Raw genomic sequence first — 26,910 nt, forward strand, 5'->3', positions numbered from 1 at the left:
TACAGTTTATGTCTCCCAGAGGTTTACCTTCCAGTGGAGAGAGAGAGGCTAAAAACAAGAAGACCAATTAATAAATCAGATAAGTTTAGATGGCACAAGTGCTCTGATGAGATTAAAGTGCTATAGTGGAAATAAATCAGGTGAGAGTCATGTTACATCAACTGGCTGTGAGGGGGCGACTCCATCTCCTCCCAGCCCTGTACCCAACCCAACCCTTTCCTCTCCTCTCTGCCTCTTCTCTCTGAACCCCTCTCCTGTTATATATTCCTGTAGTCCTGTGTTGGATAAGCTTTGATTCAGTTATTCAGGCATTAAACTTGATATCCATGTGTCCTCACTTGGATTGGAAGTTACAGTGTTAGACTTTCTTGTTGTTCCCTGATATATTTTTTACTCCTAGGACAGTGTTTGGTTTAGAGTAGATACTCAAAAAATATTTGTTGAATGTATGTGCCAAAAATTAAAGGCTTGAATAATCTACTGCTTCTTCTGCTTCTTCACAGTGATAGGAGAAATGCTTGCCCAGCCTCCCTCAGTCTGTCCACCAAGAATTCACAGCCCTTTATCTTATACCACATACTTTTGTGTTTTGCATTACATAATCAAACTAGAAGAGACCACTGAGCCTCTGAGAATCCAACATTGCCTTTATTGTTCGCCACATAAATTTGAGCAAGTCACCTAATCTCTCTAAACATCTGTTTTCTCGTCAATAAAATGGGAAGCTAATTCTGTGTCTTAGTGGGAATTGTCACATGTTTGATGTGAAAGAATGAATTGTAAATTCCTATCAAATGCATGACATTATTACCATGAAAGGCAATTAATGGCCAGAGGAAAATTCTGAATCCCTGAGCAAATGTTTGATAAGAATCACCATATAGCCTCCTTCAGTCCCTGAAGCTCTCCTGTCTCCCTTATATCCTCTGAGGCGCACTCTTCTTTTTGTCCTTAGCCAAACGTTGTGCAGACTTCTTGGGTATGAAAAGAACATTCTGCCTAGAGCTATGATCAGATGACTGAAGTTTTCTGCAAATGAAAGAGCTGGAGTTTGAGGTATTTAGAAGCTCAGAATAAACAGACTAATTGGAGAAATGAAATATCCATTAGTCTAAATGAATATTTCTATAAAGCTGCATGTTAGACATTGATAAAAAGAAACGATTAAATGCAAAATTAACCAAGATTAATTATTTTAATCAAGAGATTAATCACGATTATATCTTTACATTAGTTTGCTCTGCTGATGTTTGCTCAGCAATCTGGGGGAAAATCTGTTCATTTATCACCTTCATGTTTGAAAATCAGCCCATAATTTATACAGTCGCCCATCCATCCTCACTAACCTCTTTGTAAACAGAAGCTCCTGAACAGATAAATAGCATTTGAGAAGAAAATGTATGGGACCAAGGACACAGAGCTTCATGCCAGGGACCAAATTCAAAGCTGAGGAATTAAAAAACAATTATTGGGATACTGGGGCTCAGAAACCCATACCCCAAAATACTGCATTTCAATATGCTGAACTGAAGAAGCCTCAAGTTCTTTGGACCTACCCCATACTCAGTGTCTCTCTCATATAAGCTGAAGTTCCTTTATCTGCTTAGGATCAAGACCCATCAAGGAGAACAATAGGTTTCTCCCCTTTCTGTTTCTCGCTATCACAGGATAAAAGACCAAAAATATAACCATACATGAACAGACCCTGTTTCAAGATAATGACTGTCTCCAAGGACCATTTAAATTCCAAAAAGAATCATTTACAAGTTCATTGCTGTTCCCCAAGATCCAATCATTCTCCCTGGTAATCATTTACTGCCCCTCAATAGAATTCTTCTTCTCCCCGCCCTCACAACCTGTTTCACTGGGATCCAAGCTCCCATTTTTTCTGAAATCTCAAGGTGGTATATATGCTTCCAGACCTTATTGTTGGGTTGGGTCTTTATTCTGAAGGTGCCCACATATATATGTTTAATAAATTTGTATGCCTTTTCTCCTACTAATCAATCTGCCTCATGTCGGTGATTTTCAGTGAAACTCCAGGGTCCATAGACGATGGTCCCTAGAGGGAATCTGCAACTGCTCCTCATCTTAGATCAGTTGCCTAATCTGGTGGTTTTTACAGTTGAATTCCCCAAGATCCCTAGAGGGCAGGCTTATAGAACTGATAGTAGTTGCCTGCTGAGAATATAGGTGATGCTCTTGTGTAGATGACTACCCAAGAAGGCTCCGCAGCTGATACGAGGGAGCAGGCAAGGACTCGGGCTCTTGGAAATCAAAACAGTCCAGTGCCAAATGAGATAGTGAAACATGGGGAGTTGGGGAAAGGGCACAAAGATGTTGATGATGTAGGTTTGCCCTTCTTGATGCTTTTACACATAGTTCTGCATCTCCAGCTTTTAACAGTTAAATTTGCTGATAAGGATCCAAATCTAGTCCTCTCTGAGGCTCCCTCTTCTCAGTAAAAGGTACCACCATGCACCCACTATTGTTTATGCCAGAAAACCAGAGTAATTTTTAACATGTCTCTCTTTATTACTTCCTCGACCAACAAATACACACACATACACAAAGAAATATATATGTGCATATATTCATATATATGTGTGTGTGTATATACACACACAAACACACACACACACACATGAAGTCTTGGGTGTCTTCACTCCCCCTTAACTGGTTTGTCAACCCCTTCTCCCACTCTTTTTCCTCTTGATGTTAATTATTACTTTGTTGTGGAATGATTAATCTTAATCATTTATATATTGATTAAGTATACTATTACGTATGCCTTGCAATATTGACTGACTTGTGGAGTGGCTTGAGCCCGTGTGCCCCCAGCTCTGACTACCAAGTGAATGAGTGGTACTGAGAATTGCCTCCTTGGGAACTCCATGTAGCTCATGGCATTTGTGAATGAAATAGCATTGATAAAATTCTGACATCGTAGAAAGACACACACATGCATGGATCTGGTTACTTATAACCTTACATTGCTCATTAGGCATCTATAAATAAAAACAATTTTATTATTTCCTTCTAATCTGGATGCCTTTTATTTCTATTTCTTGCCTAATTGCATTGGCTTATAAGCTCTACTACAATGTTAAATAAAAGTGATGAGTGGATATCTTTGCCCTTTAAATAACACATGCATCAATGAGAAAGTTAAAAGGGAATGACAAATTATTTTGAAATGAATTCAAATGAAAATTCAACATAAACATTTGTGAGATGCTGTTCTCAGGAAAGCATTCAGCCTTTTACCATTAAGTACAATCTTAGCTGTAGGGTTTTGCAGATGCCATTTATCAGGTAGAGAAAATTTTATTCTATTCTTAGTTGACTGAGAATTTTTATCAGGAATGTATGTTGGATTTTGTCCAATATCTTTTCTGCATTTATTGGCATGATCACATATTTTTTTCTCTTTAGTTTGTTAATATGGTGAATTACAATTGACTGCCCTTTGAAAGTTAAACCAAACTTGCAATCTTAGAATAATCACCCAGGATATGTAATGATTATTATATATTATTTTTGTTAAATATTGAATTCAATGTACTAAAATTTTGTTTAAAATGTTTGTGTCTGTGTTTATGAACAAAATTGACCTGCAGTTTTCTACTTTTGTAATGTCTTTGGTTCTGGTGTCAGAGCAATGCTTGCTTCATAGAATGAGTTAGAAAGTATTTCTGGCCGGGTGCGGTGGCTCACGCCTGTAATCCCAGCACTTTGGGAGGCCAAGGTGGGCGGATCATGAAGTCAGGAGATCGAGACCAACCTGGCTAACAGTGAAACCCCATCTCTACCAAAAATACGAAAAAATTAGCCGGGCATGGTGGCGGGCGCCTGTAGTCCCAGCTACTTGGGAGGCTGAGGCAGGAGGATGGTGTGAACCTGGGAGGCAGAGCTTGCAGTGAGCCGAGATTGTGCCACTGCGCTCCAGCCTGGGCAAGAAAGCGAGACTCTGTCTCAAAAAAAAAAAAAAAAAAAAAAGAAGAAAGTATTTCTTCATATTTAATTTTCTAGAAAAGTTTTTATAGAATTAATAATATTTCTTTTTGAAATGTTTGGTAAAATTTACCTGTGAAAGCATCTGTGCTTGAAATTATTTTTGTGGGATTGTTTTTAACCAGAAATTCAATGTCCTTGAAAGGCATAATGTTAATTCAGGTTAATTATTTCTTCCTTGATGTTATTTGGTTGTATCTTTCAAGCAATTTCTTCATTTTGTCTAAGTTGGCATTAAGTTGTTCATAATATTTCATTAGTATTCTTTAATCTTTGTAGACTCTCTGGTGATGGCATCTCTCAGTTTAGGTATTGATTAATTATTTTTCAATTGTTTTCCTAGCTAGAGGTAAATCAATTGTATTGACCTTCTCAAAAGAAAAAAAAAAAGCTGGGCATGGTGTCACATACCTGTGGTCCCAGCTACACAGGCAGCTTTGGTGGGAGGATTGCTTGAGCACAGGAAGGCAGGATGCAGTGAGTTATGGTCATGCCCCTGCACACCAGCCTGGGTGACAGAATGAGACTGTCTCAAAACAAACAAAAAACCAGCTTTGGTTTTATTGATTTACTCTATAGTTGCTCTGTTTTCTTTCGCATTGTTTCTGCTCTGTTTTTTATTATGTCCTTTTTCCTTTGCATTTAATTGGCTCTTCTTTTTCTTATTCCTCCAAACAGAAGCTGAAGTCATTGATTTGAGACCTTTCTACTTTTCTAGCATAAGCATTTACTGCCATAAATTTTCTACTAAATTCTGTTATAGTGGCGTCTCATAAATTTTTATATTTTGAATTTTTGTTTTTATTCATTTCAAAACTGTGTAATTTACCATCTAACTTCCTCTTTGCTACATGTGTTATTTTAAAGTAAGCTATTTAGTTTTCAAATATTTTGGGATTTTCCAGGGACCTATTAGTTATTGATTTCTAATTTATTTCCATTGCAGTGAGAGTATGTGCTTTGTATAATTTGAGTTCCTTTGAGTTTATTGAGATTTACTTCATTACCCAGAATATGATCTATCATGGGAATGTTCCACATGCCATTGAAAAGAATGTGTACTCTGCTGTTGTTAGATGGAGTATTCCATAAATGTCAATTAGGTCAAGTTTGTTGATAGTATTGTTCAAATCTTCTATGATCTTCCTAGTTTTTCTCCAATTGTTCTATTGATTACTAAAAGAAGGGTGTTAAATTTTTTATTTCAATTATTGCTTTTCCCAACTGTACTTGCCGTGCTGTTGGTTTTTGCTTCATGTATTTTGAAACTCTATTATTGGGTTTATAAAAGGTTGAGATTCTTAGATTCTTTTTATAAATTGATACATTAGAAAGTGGCCATCTTTACCACTGGTAATATTATTTATTTGCTCTAAAATGTAGTTTCTTTGACATTAATATAACCATGCCAGCTTTCTTTGGATTAGTGTTTGCGTGGTGTATCTTTTCCACCCTTTTATTTTAACCTATTACATCTTTTTTTTTTTTTTTTTCTTAGATGGAATCTTGCTCTGTCACTCAGGCTGGAAAGCAGTGGCGTGATCTTGGCTCACTGCAACCTCTGCCTCCCAGGTTCAAGCAATTCTCCTGCCTCAGCCTCCTGAGTAGCTGAGATTACAGGCGTATGCCACCATGCCTGGCTAATTTTTGTATTTTAGTAGAGATGGTGTTTCACCATGTTGGCCAGGCTGGTCTCGAACTCCTAACCTCAAGTGATCCAACTGCCTCGGCCTCCCAAAGTGCTGGGATTACAGACATGAGCCACCATTCCTGGCCAACCTGTTGTATCTTTTATTTGAAGTATATTTCTTGCAGGCAGATGTATTAAGCTGTTCTTGCATTGCTATAAAGAAATACCTGAGACTGGGTAATTTATAAATAAAAGAAGTTTAATTGGTTCATGGTTCTGCAGGCTGAGCAGGAAGTATGGCACCAGCACCTGCTTCTGGGGAGGCCTCTGGAAGCTTACAATCATGGTGGAAGTCCAAAGGGGAGCTTGCATGTAACATGGTGAGAGCAGGAACAAGAAAGAGAGATGGGGGAGCCACAGACTTTCAAACAGCCATATCTTGGAAGAACTCACTCACTCTCATAAGGATATCACCAAGGGGACGGTGCTAAACCATTCATGAGAAATTCATCCCCATGATCCAATCACCTTCTACTAGAGGCCCCACCTCTAACACTGGGGATTACAACTCAACATGAGATTTGGATGGGGACAGGTATACAAACTATATCAGCAGAATATAATTGGGTCTTGCTTTTTAAATGTAATCTGACACCCTTCTGACTTTTAACGTTGTTATTTATAGCATTAACATTTAATATTATTTAGATCGTTATGCTTAAAATTATCATATTGCTATTTTCCGATTTAATCCTTCTCTTCATTTCATTTTACCTCTTCCTTCTTTTTATTAATAACAAATTGAATTTTAATATTCATTTTTATCTCCTTTGTTGGCTGTTCTACAACTTTGTTATTTTATTGGTTGTTTTGGCATGATCAAATTCTGCCTTTAAATGACATTATACTGTGAGTGGCAGAGTTTGATTTGCACACATTATTCTCTGTTTCTAAATCTTATTTTTATTCCCTACTTTTTGGGGCCTCTCAATGATAAGTTATATAGTTGATTTCTGTACAAAGTTCTATAAGAGAGAGTAAAGAAGGAAAGGGTACTCATGTTGCAGAGGTGGGTCTAGGCCTCAGCCTTGGAGAATTTACTCTGGTCTAGGAGAAAATAAATGATACATTTTGGAGCTCAGCTCTTCATATTTCAGTTGCCATTTTTCAAAAACTAACTTTTTTGATGAATGATTTATTTCCCTTTAAGTAATATAATACAAATAGTACTTGCTAGGCAATATTGGATAACACAAAAGCTAACAGGAAAACAGGAGCAAATTCTGGCGACTATTGTCCTTCTAGACTTTCTGCCTGCAAAGACAGAAATACATTTATATGCAAATATAATACCTAATGTTTAGTAAGCACTTCGTATATGTTAGACATTTTGTATAGCAATTAATATGGATGATTTCATCCTCACAAATTTATAAAGTAGGTGCTATTACTATCTACACTTTATAGATAAGAAAACTGATACACACAGAGACTAATAAATGTTCAGGAGATCTCCTATTACATATAACTTTGATATTCGAATCCAGACAACTGAGCCAAAGCTGTCACTCTTAATGACTGAACTAAATTTCCTAACATAGGTACATATTCTTATAAAAATGAAATAATTTTCTCTACATGTATGTATAATTTTTTCCATGTCATATTTACACTTTTACACTCATAATTCTTGGCTTTAGATTCTGATAAGTAGTAAAATTGGCACTTTAAAGTTTCTTTATTTTCTCCTTCTCTCCTGTCCCCATTATCCTTTCCTGTCCAGCCACTCCAGTCTCTTGGACAGATATTAGTGGACTAACTCTCCATAACCAGGCTATATACAACGTTTAAGAATTCAGAGCAGTTTTTTCTATCCCACAATAAGAATAACCATTTCTAAGGAGTTCTGAGAAGACTGGAGATCTGTTCTTCCATGTTCTTATGAAACATCCCTAGGGGGAGAGTATAGAGGCTTCTGTCATCAAGTAAAAGTTGTACTGACTTATGCAAATTTACCATTAATTTATTTTCCAGAACCAGTAGCTTGGTATATAGGGTAGTTTCACGGTATTGTGAGTAATGGCCAACACTGACATCTGCTGTTAAGCAGTAAAATTTCAGCTCAGCTCTGTTAGCCATTGCAAGTGAAGGAATTCCTGACAGAATTCTATACTTCTAATGTTAAGGCAGCCCCTGAGCTTCTAAGAGCAACAAAAGCTAGATAAATTGTCTCCAGCAAGAGCTTTTGCTTGTCTTACATAGCTCCTGACTTAAAATGTGTATGATGGATTCCATTCATAGTTGTGCTCTTGGAAGTCTGAATTCCCTCATTTTTTCTCTGAGTTCATCTGTATTTGCAAAATGCTTTTATCCTCTACCCACCTTCTCACTTTCCAGTCTGCATCTGATAGCTCAAAGCTTGGATTAGGGATTTCCATACTGAAGTTCAGGCTCAATAATTAAACAAATGGCAGGCAATACATTTATTTGCAAAGGGGAAAATATAGAAACCAGCATTTCTGAGAGCTGAGTATACACAAGTCTTATGCTCAGTGTTTTCACGCAGTTTTCCTCTCAATACTCATGACCATCCTTAATAAGTAACAATTATTATTCAATTATTTGACAGAAAAAAATTTTTCACCTCTAATTTCAAGTCTTAAATTCATGGAGCTTACATAATTTTCCTACAGGCAGAGAGGTAGTACATCAAGGAGATTAGATTTGAAAGCAAGTCTTCATTGCAAAGCTTAGTATGCCACTCTGTACAAAGTTATATTTTATAATATGTATCTACCTAGATAACCTTATTTAATAATCATACAATCTTATCAGATAAGCACTTCTAGCTTCATTTTACAAATGAGGAAAACAAGGCTTGCGTAGAGTCAGACAGCTTAAGAGATCCCAAATCAGAGTGTGACCTAAAATATTCTGATCTTATCATGAGCTGCCTTTGCTCAGTGCTTAAGCATGTGGGATCTGGTGTCAGACTGTTTGGGTTCCCCTGTGTGCTTTGCCAGTTTCTAAATGGGTGAACTTAGTCAAGTGGCTTAATCATAGCATGACTCATTTTTTCCCCATCAATAAAGTAGGGATAAGTATAGTACTTTCCTTGTAAGACTGTTGTGAGGATCAAGTGAGATTATATATATAAAGCACATATGGCAGGTAATACGTAAGATGTTGTTATTATGATCAAGAATATATATATATATATCCTGTCTTTGTTATGAGGTTTCTAGGGAAGACAATAAAGACACTTGTTAGAAAATTGCAGCATAAAGCCATCTATTTTCTGGAGTAGATCCCCTTCATTTTTCCCCCTCTCTAATAGGCCTAGGTCGGGAGTTGCAGAAGCTGATGTTAGGGTCTGGTTGCCAGAACTGTCTCTTCCCTACCACCATGACAGAATCAGCTGTGTGAACATCCAAAGCTTTCCTATTGTCTCTGGCAGCTGGAAGCAGGCTCCAAGGGTATGGGCATCATCATACTGGTTTGTCTTTAAGCATTTCTATTTCAGGTTACTGGGCCTGCTTCTGAGGGCGAAGGAGTGAGATTGAAAAGAATGCAAGTTCTACTAGGCTGGCTGGGTTCTGATGCTTTCCAGAGTTTCTCTACCAAGTAGGAAGAGTGTCAGAGCCAGAGTTGGGCAATTGGGTCCAGATGCACTTGTAGAGCTGGGAAAACACCTCAGCAATCATTTTTCTGACCCTTTGCTTCCTCATTGTTACAATAAGGATAACAAGGCTGAGCAGGGTGAGTGAAATAAATGATATATGTGAAATGCTAAAACTGAGTGCCCCTTGTGGGACTGTAATGCAAGGACAGGACTTCTGGATTGAGGATTGAAACACCTCAATTTTCACATAACCACAAATGTTCTGTGTGTTTTTGTGTGAGTTATTTGTCTTCACTGGCTGACAGTTTCTTCATCTCTATAATCAGTAGTTTGGATTTTATGAATTCTTAATGTTTCTTCCAGCTTAATCTGTGTAAATAATTCATCCATTTGTCCATCACAGTTGTATTAAGTACCTACCTACCTACCACCCAGGAACTGATGATACCATAATGAATAAGATTGACTTCTAGAAATTCAAGTGCTAGAGTGGATATACTCCATGAATTATGTGAGCAAATGAAGGGAAGTAAATTGTTTCTAGGGAAGTTGCAATGGCCCCAAGAACGGGGGATATTTGAAATAAGCCCGGAAGAACTAGCATAGGTTTGCCAAATGGGGAAGAAATAGTTACAAATGAGATGATTATTATTTCACTCCACATTCTGCACAGCTTAGTCCGTGTCACGTTGGATCCAATCAGAATAGAAAAATCCCTATTCTCTGAGGGACATGTCTAAATCTCATTTCCAAATAAGATCAAATTTCGCCTCTTAAGTTTCACTCTAAAGTGGTGGCCGTCATCACGTGGATTTACTGTCCTGATCCTGGGTCATTTCTCTAATATAAAGCAAAACTCGAGCCAACATCTTATGGAAAGGTGTACAGATCTGAGCACACAGAACAAACAAGGAATACACATGCTCTCAATTCTCAGCCATTGTTCTGGTATTCAAGGAAAGTTTTGGGCTCCTCTGGGAAATCAAAGAGCTAAGCTGGGGGAAAAACCACATTGGTAGGACTGTGGAGGATTGTGGCTCCAAGACAGCAGGGCTCTTGAAGCTCCCACCAGGCTGGAGATGAGCTAATATGCTGAAAGTCATCTCTGCCTGCTGAGAGTGGTGCTAGTGAAATTGAGGAGGGAGGGGAAGTGGGGGTTGCTACTGAAGACTGCAGCCGTCCCTAGGGTACACAATAATTGTTCAAAAAATTGTTCACAAAATTTCTTATTTGCCTAGCCCCCTGTATTTCTCCCTATCTTTATCGCTGCAACTTTTCCTTAGGGACTTATGCTCCGTTTTTCATTCCGTTCCTGTAGTTCATGTGCGGCTGATACATGTGTGGTCTGGGATTTTTCACGTGACCCCAGTCTGGCCAGTCAGAAGTCATATCCCCCTTGCCACGGTAATCAGTTCTGGATTGTGCTTGCATCCCAATGAAAGAAAATCCAGAGTTCTTTTTGGAGTGACTGGGAGAGGGGCACTCTCTTCTAGTAACAAGGACGGGAAGACAGAATGCAAACCTGAAGGTGCTAGCAGCCATCATGGTGCCAGGAAGGAAGAATCTTCCTGTGAGTTCAACGTTAAAAATACAAAACTGACACCAAGACAACAAAACTTAGAAAAATAAATAACACTGATGATACTGTTCCAGCACCCAGATGCCGCTCTGCCTGAAGCTGTACCTAATCTTGGACTTCCTTATTATGTCAGCCAATAAAGCTCCCTTTTTGTTTAAACCAGCTCAAAGTTAGTTTTATGTCACTTGAAAATTATTTTCTAGGCTGGTCATTGTGGCTCACACCTGTAATCCTAGCACTTTGGAAGGCTGAGCCGGGTGGATCACTTGAGCCCAGGAGTTCAATAACAGCCTGGCCAACATGGTGAAACCCCATCACTACAAAAAATACAAACAAATTAGCCAGGTGTGGTGGCATGCACCGGTGGTCCCAGCTACTCGGGAGGCTGAGGTGGGAAGATCACCTGAGCCCAGGGAGGTCAAGGCTGCTGTAAGCTGTGATTGCACCACTGCACTCCAGCCTGGACAACAGAGCAAGACCCTGCCTCAGGAAAAAAAAAAAAAAAAAAGACGAGAAAATTATTTTTTGGCATTATTTTCTGGGACCATCTTTCTGGCAATCTGAAGACATCTTCCCAGTCTAATGCTCCAGGTTCTCAAATCTCAAGGCATTGTCTCGGTCTAATAGTCCAGCTTCTCAACCCTGATAGACACTTTTCCTCTTTAGGGCTCCCAAATCGTATTCCAACCTGTAGCTCCAGAGCTCTCTTGTCTGTAGCATTCTCCTCCCACGACTTTTTGCTGCCTCTTTTTAAAAATAACTCCCATCTGCTCATCGGCCTCCTGCTCATTCTTCTGTTTCCATGTCGTGAGCTTCTCTGGTTTCTATCTCTGGCTCTGGGAAAGCTTTAGAGATACATTTCTCAGAACCACTTCTGCTGTGCTTGAAATTACACGTATCTCTCTCTTTGGCTCAACAGATGACCCATGAAAAATTCCTTGCTGCGTTTCTGGATTCACTCACTTGAAACTTTTTACAATGCCATAGATTCCTGGAGATAACTTCTTGACACCATAAAGATGGAGTAGAGGTGAGCAGAGGTGGCATATAATCAGAGAAAACCTAACCTATGCAAATACTCAGGAGAGATGTCCCATTGTATGGGTTTAAGCTAGGAGGCAACTTGAGCCAAGTCAGTTCAGGTAATAGGGTTTGGTTAATTTCTAACTATAAATAAAGCCAATAATAATAATAATTTCTAACTATAATAAAGCCAAAATGTGCCATGAGTGGTGCTAAGCACTTCTACAGGTTTGCAATCATTTCTCACAACAGCTTAGGAAGTATGACAGTTACCTTTGTCTTGAAGATGAGAAAATTGAGGCACAGAGAAGTTGAGAAAGCTGCTCAAGATCACATAGCAAATGGAGGTTATAATAGTCATCTATGCAGTTCACAACCAAATATGCCTAGGTTTCCACTTTCTAGACACAATAAATATTGCACTTCTCTCTCTCTTTTTTTTTTTTTTGAAAACCAATGCACTGTATGACGTGCTTCGGCCAAAGAAATGTTAGTAGAGGTGGCATATGTCACCGCGCAGTGAAAGCTCTAAAGGCTAGTGCTCAATTCATTATGCTTAGACATCTCCCTCTGCAGATACTCCATCTGATGGTGATGTCATCAGCCTGGTGAGGGTGACAGCATGGGGCTCCCCATTGATGCTCTGTGGGTGTATTAAAAACATCAAAAATACAATTGTATTGTTTTAAGGCTCTAAAATTTGTAGTGTTTTAAATTATTGACCCATAATATAAACAATTTAATTGACACATTAGTAGAGTCATGGTTAAAAAAATCAGATAATCTGGTTTCAAAACCTACAATTTTAGCAATTCTATTTTTCTCTGTAAAAAGACATGGAAAAGTAAGAAACCCAGAAATGACTGGGCAGCAACTAGAAGCAACTGGGACACAGCACTACTGTAAGCTCCAGGACATCTAGTCAACCTCGCAGTAGTAAAAAGATCCAGGACATACAGTCAGCCTCCCAGCAGTAAAACCTTGGTTGCTGTGAACACAGTTCTGAATACCGGCCTCCATTGCTCTCTACATCAGTTGCCTGCAATTTTGGTAAAGGAGTGACTTTGTTTCCACCTTGTCCTGAGCCTCTGCTTCCATCTTTATATTGTGGTCCTGCTTAGTCATGGCACCTGCCGTCCTTTGGCACTTGTCTCCCAAAAGCATCTCCTTCCTCACTCTACTCATGGATTTTCCTTTCCATCCTCTATTTACCTCATTGCTTTGCTTCTTTTCAGGTTGTGGCTTCTATAAGCCACCCACTCACTCTAACTTACATTTTAATGTCCCTAAGAATGAATGTATTTGTGGTTCAGAAAATTCTGGGCCACTTTGTAGACTGCTGGTATGGAAAATAGATGGCATTTTCATCTCTGTGGAACAGATTAAGAGGTCAGGTGGTTATCTCTGTTACAGTCAGCTACCATGAGGATTGGGTCACCTGCCAAGAGGCCAAGAGGTCCATATAAGAAGTTCCTCAAAAAAATGTCTGTAGGCCAGGCATGATGGTTCACACCTGTAATCCCAGCACTTTGGGAGGCCAAAACGGGCAGATCGCCTGAGGTTAGGAATTAGAGACCAGCCTGGCCAACATGGTGAAATCCTGACTCTACTAAAAGTGCAAAAATTAGCCACTCTGGTGGTGCACTTCTGTAGTCCCAGCTACACGGGAGGCTGAGGCAGGAGAATTGCTTGAACCCAGGAGGTGGAGATTGCAGTGAGCTGAGATGGCACCTCTGCACTCCAGCCTGGATGACAGAGCCAGACTCCATCAAAAAAAAAAAAAAAAAAAAGAAAAAAAAAAGAAAAGAAAAGAAAAAAGAGCTAGATGATAGAAACTATGAGACTTGCCATAACGGAGTCATGCTCTCACACCACAATAATCATCAACACAGAAGACTTCTGTGACTTCTGTGGGTTTTCTCCCCCTACACACCAAGTAGCAGATACCAGCTGGGTGTCATCTAATTCGGTGCCAACGCTCTCTACCCAGAGATTGTGTTAAATCCCACAAGTTGAGTGCTCAGTGCCCACGACTGCCCTCCCTTAACACCAGTGGCAAGTTCAGGCCTCCGGAACTTCTTACATGCCGGCTTTAAGTTGGGGCTCCTATGCCCCCCTCTTTGGGTTGAATTAATTTTCTGGAGCAGCTCCCAGAACTCAGGTAAACACTTATATTTACTGGCTTATTATAAAAGATATTGCAAAAGACACAGATGATGATGTACGTAGGATGGGGTATAGGGGAAGGGACGCAGAACTTCCATGCCCCTGCTGAGCACGTCACCCTCCAGGAACTTCCACATGTTGGGCTATCCAGGAGCTCTTCGAACCCAGTTATGTTGGTTTTTTTAAGGAGGCTTCATGATCTGAGCATTCCTTCTCCCTGAGTATAGGGTGGGACCCTCTCTGGGGAGGGTCGTAAGACCCACAATGGGAAAGGGATGGGGGAAGCACGGAGTCCTGTCTTGGGGCAGGTGAAAAGAAGTCAGGAGAAAGTCAGAGTCCTGTCTCTGAGGCTTCACACACCCAACATTATAACACGTGACTGTTAACGAGGGCTATGGGGGTTATGATCCAGGAACCATGGAGGAAACTAATATACATCGTAACACCACAGGGGGCATAACCAGAAGGCATTTTGTTAGGCTTGTCCAGAGCATTTACCCTGCATTCACAAATCGCCTTCTTTTTCTTCCTTAGCACCTTTTCACACATTGTAGATTCTTCCCTCACAAACGAAGTCTGGCTGACTCCTCATCTATGCCTATGCAGTCCCCTCCCCATAGTCAATGGACTTCTACACTGTAGGTTCAGCCCCACCCAGGGATCTGATTGCTCTGAATACAAGCCTCAGTCTATAGAGTAGAGCTTCTGGCTTCCAAACAGGTTCTTGAAACAAATCTGGTCTACATGTTTTCTAAAATTAAAATCTCGTTGCACAAATTCTACATGAATATCTTATCCTTGTAATAAATTAAAAGATCAGAGATAATTCTAAAGTTCCTTTTGACCAAGAAACTTTAGAATTATCTCTACTCTTTTAATTTAATCTCGGGCTATCCCCTTCCCCTGGTGATAATTACATTACCATTTCTTCAATCTCTTTCTCTTTCTCTCCCTTACCCCTCATGATTATAGTGTAGAATTACTATGTGTGTGTTTTACATAAATGGTATCATACTGCATATATCATTTTTGTAATTTGCTTATTTTTATACAAGTCATTGATATATTTTCATGTAATTATATATTATAGATCTACTTCATTTCCTTGAACCTTAGCTTATTTTCCATAGTGTAACATCACAGTTTATTTAGCCAATTTCTCATTAATGAACATATACATTATTTATTTTATTTTTTTGAGATAATATCTCTCCCTGTCACCCATGCTGGAGTGCGGTGGTGTGATCATAGCTCACTTTAGCCTTGAGTTCCTGGGCTCAAGCAATCCTCCCACCTGTCTCCCAAGTAGCTAGGATGACAGGCGTCCACCACCATTCCTGGCTATTTTTTTTATTTTTAGTAGAAATTGGGTCTTGGCTATGTTGCCCAGGCTGGTCTCAAACTACTGCCCTCAAATGATCCTCCCACTTTGGTCTCCAAAAATGCTGGGATTACAAGCATGAGCCACCATACCCAGCAATTGTTCCATTTTTTTTAAAGTTATGAACAATGCTGCAATGAATATCCCTTCTTATGCTTTCTTGTGTGTTTCTCAAGATCTAACAATAAAAATGGAATTCGTTGGTAATCTAGGAACATACACCTTTAATTCCAGGAGATATTCCCAAACCGAAGCTCCCTTTGGTAACCTAGTTCAAATATATTATTCTTTGCCTTCTTATCTGGATCTGAAAGTATGTCCAGAAGACATATGTAGCATGCTAGTTCAAGTAGCAGCAAACCAACATTCACTCCAGGCACTGTGCTAAGATATTTCATACATCTTAATGATCCTACAGAATCTTCTAAGTTAGACATTATAACCACATTACAGATGAGGGATTTTAGGTTCAGTGAAATTAAGACAGTTCCCAAAACTCACATAACCATTAGGCAGTGGGTTCAGGGTTTGAATCTAGGTCTCTCAGATTACAAAGTCCATGTCCTTAATAATACTACATGGATTTGCCTCTGTTGAATTTCTAGGACTTTGGCTTTGTCTGGCTCTCCCAAGAAAGAAGCAGATCCAGTGCCCAATCCCCAGCCTTGAAACAAGGCTTACCTTAGAATGATGGTTGACCCTCATGCTGCCAAGTGGCGGAGAGGTGTATTGTGAGAGGTGCAGAGAGAGGCATCAGGTTATCTCAGCAGGTGGTGCACATAATCTGCAACCCACCTTATCTATGCAGTGGTCTGAACAATAGTGAGAGCTCCCCTCTAACAGAATAGACAGAATGTGTTTTTGCTCATGTGAATGTCATCCATTGTTGGTGTCCAGGGAAAATATAAAAAGTTGAACATTAATCTACTAGATTGATTCTCCAGGACACCTGTCTGAGAAGCTTGCCTCTAATTTGACAGATTGCTCCACTTTCTGAGCAGCCATTGACCCCCTCCAAGTCTGTTCAGTCCCAGTGTAGAAGAAGCCACGTATATTTGCACTTACATAGGCCTGCCCGCCATACTTGAAGCCCCAGCCCCATGTCCTGCACTTGCTCAAGCTGCTCCCTGTGCTTGCAGTCCCCATCACTGCTTATCTCCACAAATGTCCACAAACGGACCAACTCAGATGTCAAATTACCCACCCAACATGCCCTGATTCCTCCCGCTGGGAATTACCTCTTCATCCTCTAAACTCTCACAGTATCCCCATCTTCCCCTGATCGATCATTCCCTATAAGGTATCTCAGTTATCTTTGCTTGAAACAAGTTAGCATATGAGCTAAAATTGGAGAGACAGGGAGGTTGGAGTGATGAGCTGCAAAACCTTGGGCAAGGTACTTAATCTCTCTGTGCTATAATTTTCTCACTGAATCCACTGTTTATCCTCAGTCAACATGAGTTCACCACATATTCATTGAGTGCCTGAACTGCACCAAGCCCACTGTTTATCCCCGGAGAAAGAAAGGTGAACAAAATGATAAGTTACTCTGTTCTCATGAAGCTTACATTTTAATCAGGGGAAATAGGCATCAATCAAAATACATCAGAACAAATTTGTAGAGTTATTCCTGTGATGGGTACTTGAAAGAGAGATATATAGGATATGCTATGGGAATTTGGTCTAAACAGGGTGTTCTGCTAGGGAAATTGAATTGAAATATGAAATATAAGCAAGAGTTAAGTAGAGAAAAAGAAGAACGAAGCCCAGTGATGGCACAGTGGAATGCATGTGCAAAGGTCCTGGGGTGGCAGTCATTATATTTATTAGAAAAAGCTCAAGGAAGGCCATTGTGGCTGCAGTGCAGAATTGAGAGAGGGTGTGCTCTGAGATGAGGCAGAAGAGATAGTCAAATACATTCAGAGTTTCCTCCAGGAAGCTCTCCTGGATTGATACAATGAAAATAAGAGAAGTCCTTGAGTCTCTGCCTTGGGACAGGTGTTAGGGTCTAACCCATTTGTTTATACGGATTAGAAGAAACAATATGTCCGTGAGTTCCCATGTGGTTAAGATCATGTTATTCTTATGTTTATCTCAGGATATCACGCTTATTAGATATTAGAACATATGTGCTGTTGGTTCATACCTTTCCCTCAGTCACCTAGAGTTTCATTTTGCTATTAGTTTGTGCATTTACTTTGATTTGTTCACAATGAAGGCTCACGAATTTGAATTCTACTCATTCAAGAATTTGTGATACTAAAAGAAAAATTGAGTTGACATTAGGAAGCACATAAGAAAGTTTTCAAGCCACGTTAGAAGTATTCAATTAGATACAAACAATTACGAGGCTAATTATAAATCATTCCTACCTATTCATTAAAGCAGGTCCAAGATGGTAGTTAAAAGTAATAAAGCTGCATCTCTTTGCAAACAGTCCATAACTCAGGATGTTGCTAATTCAAATTAGCCACCCCCTCAATCAAGGAGATTACTGAAGTGTGTTGGCTTGCTTGTTTTAAAATTAAATGGAACATCTTTCTTTTCTTATTATATAAGTGCACCTACAATGTAATAAATTTAGAAAATTCAGAACAGGACTGTGAGCATAGTGATGTGTTTTTTCATTCTCTTTAAATACAGCTTGATAAATTAATAGATGGGTGGAGACATAGATGGATGAATAGGTAGATTGTTGAATTGGTCATAATATATTTCTAAATAGATATGCAGATTGATTTTCTAAAAATTGAGATCATAGCATGTCAGAGATTGTCAATTTTAACCAACTACCCATGTTTTCCTATATCTCTCTGCCTTCTTTAAAGTTAATTGGGCTATAAGACCGGGTCTGGTCAAAGAGATGGGATAGAAGTAACACACACCATTTCCAGTCTTGGCAACACAACTCCCTCCACGATGTACCGCACCCTACTTCTGCCCTTCTGTCTTATGTTAAAAGCCTCTTTGAGATCATCATGGCGGATGGGAGGCAGGACTAGATTGCACCTCTGGACACAGCGGTGTGTGGGGGCTTGCACTGTAAATTTTAGCTCCAGATCGACTGCAAGAAAAAAACAGTAATTCCGAGAGGGCCCATAGACCCTCTAAAGGAAGCAGATTGTTCCTGCAGGACCTGGGAGAACCCTCAAAACCATGAGTGCCCCAATTACGGAAGTGGGAAAGGGAGGCCTTCCTCTCCCGAACACACACTCCCACTGGAGAAGCTGAAGGTCTGTTAGCCAGAGAAGTTTTTGACTTTACCTGGAGCTGAGTGACTTTGGAGAGCTGAGCGAAATACAGGGTTAGAGTAAGCAACAGAAAGGCTCTGGGAGCTCGCTGGGTCCCCAAGCAGTCCATTCCTGCCTGGCGCCACAGGGATTCAATGGGAGAGGAGCAGGGAGTGAAACTACCCAGGGAGAAGAAAATCTCTAGCTGAGATTTTCAACTTTGTAACAGTTTGAACCAGGCGAGAAGCCTCCTGGCCAGAACGCAAGGGAGGGTGCAAATCCAGTGTGCAGACTCCACTGGCAGCAAAAGAACCAAGCCCTTTTATTTCACAGCTGGGAGGTGGGTAGCCTGGGGCAGGTTTTCAAACCTATATTGCTCTCCGCCTGGAAACAGACTGAGGGCTATTGGGGTGGTAAGGTGGGAGTGAGACTGGCCCTTCCGGTTTGCATGGGAGCTGGGTGAGGCCTGTGACTGCTGGCTTTCCCTCACTTCCCTGACAACCTGAATGACTCAGCAGAGGCATCCATAATCCTCCTAAGTACCCAACTCCAGTGACCTGGGAATCTCACCCGCAACCCCTACAGCAGCCCACAGCAAGACCCGCCCAAGGAGTGTCTGAGCTCAGATATGCCTAGCCCTGCCCCTGCCAGAGGGTCCTTCCTTACTCACCCTGGTAGTCTAAGACAAAGGGCATATAATCTTGGGAGTTCTAGGGCTCCACCCACCACCTGTCCCTCTCTATACTACTGCAGGTGATGCTCTCTGGAAAGCGCCACCTCCTGGCAGGAGGCCAACTAGCACAAAAATAGAACATTAAACCGCCAAAGCTCTCTCTCACGGAGTCCATTGCACTCCCCCCCACCTCCCCCACACCCCTGCCACCTCCACCTCCACTGGAACAGGCACTGGTATCCATGGCTGAGAGTCCCATAGATGGTTCATATCACAGGACTCTGTGCAGACAACCCCCAGTATCAGCCCAGAACTGGGTAGACTTGCCAAGTGGCTAGACCGAGAAGAGACAACAATCACTGCAGTTAGGCTCACAGGAAGCCACATCCATAGTAAAAGTGAGAGAGTACCTCATCAAAGGAACAACACGTGGGACAAAAGAATCTGAACAACAGCCTTCAGCCCTAGACCTTCCCTCTGAGAGAGCCTACCCAAATGAAAAGGAACCACAGAAACAACTCTGGTAACATGACAAAACAAGGCCCTTTAACGACCCCAAAAAAATCACACTAGCACACCAGCTAGTGATCCAAACCAAGAAGAAATCCCTGATTTACCTGAAAAAGAACTCAGAAGGTCAGTTATTAAGCTAATCAGAGAGGGACCAGAGAAAGGCAAAGCCCAATGCAAGGAAACCCAAAAAAACGGTACAGGAAGTGAAGGGAGAAATATTCAAGGAAATAGATAGCTTAAAGAAAAAACAATAAAAAATTCAGGAAACATTGGACACACTTTTTGAAATGTGAAATGCTCTGGAAATTCTCAGCAATAGAAATGAACTAGTAGATGAAAGAAATTCAAGCTTGAAGACAAGTTCTTCAAATTAGCCCAATCCAACAAAGACAAAGAAAAAAGAATAAGAAAATACAAACAAAGCCTCCAAGAAGTCTGGGATTACGTTAAATGACCAAACTTAAGAGTAATCGGTGTTCTGGCTGGGAGCCGTGGCTCATGCCTGCAATCCCAGCACTTTGGGAGGCCAAGGCAGATGAATCACCTGAGGTCAGAAATTCGAGACCAGCCTGACCAACGTGGAGAAACCCCAGCTCTACTAAAAATACAAAATTAGCCAGGAGTGCTGACACATGCCTGTAATCCCAGCTACTCGAGAGGCTGAGGCAGGAGAATCACTTCAACCTGGGAGGCGGAGGTTGCAGTGAGATGAGATTGCACCACTGCACTCCAGCCTGGGTGACAAGAGTGAAACTCCGTCTCAAAAAGGAAAAAAAAAATCGGTGTTCCTGAAGAAGAGAATTCCAAAAGCTTGGAAAACATACGTGGCGGAATAATCAAGGAAAACTTCCCCAGTCTTGCTAGAGACCTAGACATCCAAATAAAAGAAGCACAAAGAACACCTGGGAAATTCATTGCAAAAAGAGCTTTGCCTGGGCACATTGTCATCAGGTTACCCAAAGTTAAGAGGAAGGAAAGAATCTTAAGAGCTGGGAGACAGAAGCACCAGGTAACCTATAAAGGAAAACCTATCAGATTAACAGCAGATTTCTCAACAGAAACCCTGCACGTTAGAAGGGATTGGGGCTCTATCTTCAGCCTCCTCAAACAAAACAATTATCAGCCAAGAATTTTGTATCCAGTGAAACTAAGCATCTTATATGAAGAAAAGATACAGTCATTTTCAGACAAACAAATGCTGAGAGAATTCTCCATTACCAAGCCATCACTACAAGAACTGCTAAATGGAGCTCTAAATCTTGAAACAAATCCTGGAAACACATCAAAACAGAACCTCTTTAAAGCATAAATCACACAGGACCTATAAAACAAAACTACAAGTTAAAAAGCAAAAACAAAGAACAAAAAAACCAAAGTACACAGGCAACAAACAGCATGATGAATGTGGCGGTACCTCACATTTCAATACTAACATTGAGTGTAAATGGCCTAAATGCTCCACTTAAAAGATACAGAACTGCAGAATGGATAAGAACTCACAAACAAACCATCTGCTGCCTTCAGGAGACTCACCTAACACATAAGGACTCACATAAACTTAAAGCAAAGGGGTGGAAAAAAGGCATTTCATGCAAATGGACACCAAACGTGAGCAGGGGTAGCTATTTTTATATCAGACAAAACAAACTTTAAAGCAGTAGCAGTTAAAAGAGACAAAGAGGGACATTGTGTAATGGTAAAAGGCCTTGTTCAACAGGAAAATATCACAGTCCTAAACATATATGCACCTAACACTGGAGCTCCCAAATTTATAAAACAATTACTAATAGACCAAGCAATGAGATACACAGCAGCACAGTAATAGTGGGTGACTTCAATACTCCACTGACAGCACTAGACAGGTCATCAAGGCAGAAAGTCAACAAAGAAACAATAGATTTAAACTATACCCTGGAACAAATGGACTTAACAAATATATACAGAACGTTTCATCCAACAACTGCAGAATACACATTCTATTCAACAACACATGGAAATTTCTCCAAGATAGATCATATGATAGACCATAAACTGAGCCTCAATAAATTTAAGAAAATTGAAATTATATCAAGCACTCTCTCAGACCACAGTGGAATAAAACTGGAAATCAAGTCCAAAAGGAACCTTCAAAACCATGCAAATACGTAAATTAAATAACCTGCTCCTGAATGAGAATTGGGTCAAAAACAAAATCAGGATGAGAATTTAAAAATTTTTCAAACTGAACGACAATAATGACACAACCTATCAAAACTTCTGGGATACAGCAAAGGCAGTACTAAGAGGAAAGTTCATAGCCCTAAATGCCTACATCAAAAAGACTGAAAGAGCACAAACTGGCCCTCTAAGGTCACACCTCAAGGACCTAGAGAAACAAGAAAAAATCAAACCCAAACCCAGCAGAGGAAAGAAAATAACTAAGATCAGAGCAGAACTAAATGAAATTGAAACCAAAAAAATACAAAAGATAAATGAAACGAAAAGCTGGTTATTTAAAAAGACAAAATCGATAGACCATTGGCAAGGTTAACCAAGAAAAGAAGAGAAGAAATCCAAATAACCTCACTAAGAAACGAAACAGGAGATATTACAACTGACGCTACTGAAATACAAAAGATCATTCAAGGCTACTATGAACTCCTTTAAGCAAGTAAACTAGAAAACCTTGAAGAGATGGATAAACTCCTGAGAAAATACAACCCTCCTAGCTTAAATCAGGAAGAATAAAATACCCTGAACAGACCAATAACAAGCAGTAAGACTGAAATGGTAATTTAAAAATTACCAGCAAAAAGAATTCCAGGACCACACAGATTCACAGCATAATTCCACCAGACATTCAAAGAATAATTTGTACCAATCCTTTTGACACTATTCCACAAGACAGAGAAAGAAGGAACCCTCCCTAATTCATCCTATGAAGCCAGCATCACCCTAATACCAAAACCAGGAAAGGACATAACCAAAAAAGAAAACTACAGACTGATAGCCTTGATGAACATAGATGCTAAAATCCTTAACAAAATACTAGCTAACTGAATCCAACAACATACCAAAAAGATAATCCACCATGATCAAGTGGGTTTCATACCAGGGATTACAGGGATGGTTTAACATACAGAAGTCAAGAAATGTGATACACAACATAAACAGAATTAAAAACAAAAATCACATGATCATCTCAATAGATGGAGAAAAAGCATTCGACAAAACCCAGTATCCCTTTATGATAAAAACTCTCAACAAAATCAGCATACAAGGGACATAGCTTAATGTAATAAAACCCATCTATGATAAACCCACAGCCCACATAATACCGAATGGGGAAAAGTTGAAAGCATTCCCTTTGAGAACTGGAACAAGAGAAGGATGCCAACTCTCACCACTCTTCTAGTATTGGAGGTCCTAGCTAGTGCAATCAGACAAGAGAAACAAATAAAAGGCATCCAAATCGGTAAAGAGGAAGTCAAACTGTCACTGTTTGCTTATGATATGATCGTTTACCTTGAAAACCCTAAGTACTCCTCCAGAAAGCTCCTAGAACTGATACACTTCCACACTGCTGGTGGGAATGTACACTACCATAGCTGCTATGGAGTTAAAACATACTGCTTAATCACTTAACCACAAAAGAAGACAGTAAGAGAGAAAAAAGGAAGAAAGGATCTACAAAACAACCAGGAAATAAGTTACAAAATGACAGTAGCAAACTCTTACCTATCAATAATAACCTGGTTATTGTAAGAATTAAAGAAAGAGGAAAGAAACATAAAAGGTGGCTTGCCAGTTAAGACAGGTTTATTTCAGAGAAAATAAGCCTGATTGGGGCATTTGGCTGAGTTAAGTTAGAGGCACACTTTTTTTTTACAGACTAAGAGTTTTTAAGGATTTGGGGTGGGAGAGTTTATTAGAAACTTGGACTGCTTTTGTTTTTGTTTTTTTGTTGTCGTTGTGCTTATTTGGAAGGGAGAGTTGTGTGTTTGTTTTTATATATTTTTCTGCAGCTGCAGGCACACCCTCTAGTCTGCTTTTAGCTTTCCTATTTTAGTGCACCTGAAGGGAAAGGAATATACTTATTAAGGCCCACTGTCTTACTGGGGCCCATTGCATGAGGGTGCAGTTTGGCAGTTACTCAAGAGACTTTCCCCTGCCCTCTCTCTGTGCCTGAGCTGTTTTATCTGTGTTTTACTGTCTGCTTTTTCTGGCTGCTTGTGGTTAGAAAAGAAGTGATTTTTTTGAAATGCATGAGGCTAGAAAGGGAGCTGGAACTTAAAGTCGTGGTGTTTGTCCAAGATGACAGTGCTCCTGCTCTGTCAGATATAAATGGATTACATTCACCAACTAAAAGGTACAGAGTGGCTAAATGAATTAAAAAAAACAAGATCCAATTATATGCTGTCTAAAAGAAACTCACTTCATCTATAATAACACAGACTAAAAGTGAATAAATAGAAAAATATATTTCATGCAAGTGGAGACAAAAAAGAGCAGAAATAACTATATTTATATCAGATTAAATAGACTTTAAGTCAAGAATGGTAGAAAAAAAAAGACAAAGAATGTCATTATAAAATGATAAAGGGGCCAATACAGCAAGAGAATATATCACTTCTAAATATATATGCACTAAACACCAGGCACCCAAATGTGTAAGGCAAATATTAATAGATCTAAAGGGAGATATTAACTATATCTCTTACTATTACAATAACAGTAGGAAACTTCAACATCCTACTTTCAACAATGAGCTGATCATCCAGACAGAAAATAAAACATGAGAGTTAAGCTGCACTGTAGCACAAATGGACCTAACAAAAATTTATAGAACATTCCATCTAAAAGCTGCAGAATGCACATTTTCTTAACAGCAAATGGAACATTCTCCAGGATAAACTTACCATAAGTTATGTCATAAAACAAGTCTCAACAATTTTTTAAAAATAGAAATCATAAGTATATTTCCTCACTACAATGGAATAACCCAGAAATTAATAATAAGGGATGTTGGAAATTATTAATTCATGGAAATTAAACAACATACTTCTCAAAAACAAATGCACCAATGATGAAATTAGAGAAAAATAAAAAAACTCCTTGAGACAAATGAAAATGGAAACATGACATACCAAACCTATGGGATACAACAAAAGCAGTTCTAAGAAGTAAGTTTATAGCAAAAATGCCTACATCAAAAAAGTAGAATGATCACAACAAGGAAACAACTTAATACCTAAAGGAACTAGAAAAGTAAGAACAAACCAAACCCCAAATTAGTAGAAGGAAAGTAACAACAAAGCAGAAATACACAAAATAAAGATTTTTAAAAATCAATGCAAAGGGTCAACAAAACAGAGTTGGGTTTTTAAAAAGATAAAATAGACAAACCTTTAGCTAGACTAATGAAGACAAAAGAGAGAAGACTCTCCCACCAAAGAAGAGCCCAGGACCTGATGACCTCATAGGTGAACCCTACTAAACATTTTAAAAATAACTAATATCAATTATTCTCAAACTCTTCCAAAAAACTGAAGAGAAAGGAATACTGCCAAACTCATTTTATGAGTCCCACATTACCTTGATTCCAAAACCAGATGAAAACACAACAACAAAAAAAGGAAATGACAGGCCAATATCCCTGATGAACATAGGTGCAAAAATCCCCAACAAAATACTACCACACTGAATTCAATAACACATTTACAAAATCATTCACCATAATCAAGTGGGATTCATTCCAGGTATGTAATGGTAGTTCAATATATGCAAATCAATAAATAGGTACATCTCATTAACAGACTCAAAGACAAAAACATATGATCATACCAACAGATGCTGAAAAAGCATTTGGTAAAATTCAACATCCCTTCATAATAAAAAACATGAAACAAGCTGGGTATAAGAAACTTACTTCAACACAATAAAGGCCATATATGACACACAGTTAACATAATACTGAATGGGGAAAGATTGAAAGCTTTTTCTGTAAGATCTGGAACAAGACAAACAGGGGTCTACTTTTACCACTTTTATTAAATGTAGTACTGAACGTTCTAGCCAGAGTAATTAGGCAAGAGAAAGAAATAAAGGTCATTCAAATAATTGGAAAGAAAGAAATTAAGTTGTCGCTGTTCTCAAACAACATGGTCATATATGTAGACAACCCTAAAGTCTCCACCAAAAAACTTTTAGAAGTAATAAATGAATTTAGCAAAGTTGCAGGATACCAAAATAACACACAAAATCAGTAGTGTTTCCATTGATATATTCCGGTGCAAACTACCTGAAAAAGCAATAAAGAAAGCAATTCCATTTACAGAATCTACCAAAAAAATACATGGGCATAAACTTAACCAAGGGAGATGAAAGATCTCTACAATAAAAACTGTAAAACACTGTAAAGGAAATTGAAGAAGACATAAATAAAAAGATCTCCTGTATTCACAAGTTGGCTTTTGTTAAAATGGCCATATCACCCCAAATGATCAACAGATTCAATGACATCTATCAAAATACCAATGACATTCTCCAAAGAAATAGAAAAAACAATCTTAAAATTTATATGGAAATACAAAAGACCCTGGAGAGCCCAGTTCATTTTGAGCAAAAAAACAAAGCTAAAAGCATCATACTACCTAACTTCAAAATATACTACAAAGCTATACAAACCTAAACAGCATGGTACTCATGTAAGAACAGAACCAAAGACCAATACAATAGAATACAGAATGCAGAAATAAATCTGTGCATTTACAGTAACTGATTTTCAACAAAGACCTCAAAACAGACATTGGAGAAAGGACAATCTCTTCAATAAATGATGCTGAGAAAACTGGATATCTACATATAGAGGAGTGAAACTAGATCTCTATCTCTCATCATATACACAGTTCAACTTTAAATTGGTCAAAGACTTAAAAGTAAGACCCCAAACTATGAAACTAGTGAAAAAAAAACACTAGGGAAATGACTCATGAAATTGGAACAGGCAAGGATTTTTTGAATAAGACCTCAAAAGCATAAGCAACAAAAGCAAAAATTGACAAATAGGATTACATCAAATCAAAAAGCTTCTGCAACGC

This window comes from Homo sapiens, chromosome 16 (genome assembly GCF_000001405.40).
Source record: "Homo sapiens chromosome 16, GRCh38.p14 Primary Assembly".
Lineage (NCBI taxonomy): Eukaryota > Metazoa > Chordata > Mammalia > Primates > Hominidae > Homo > Homo sapiens.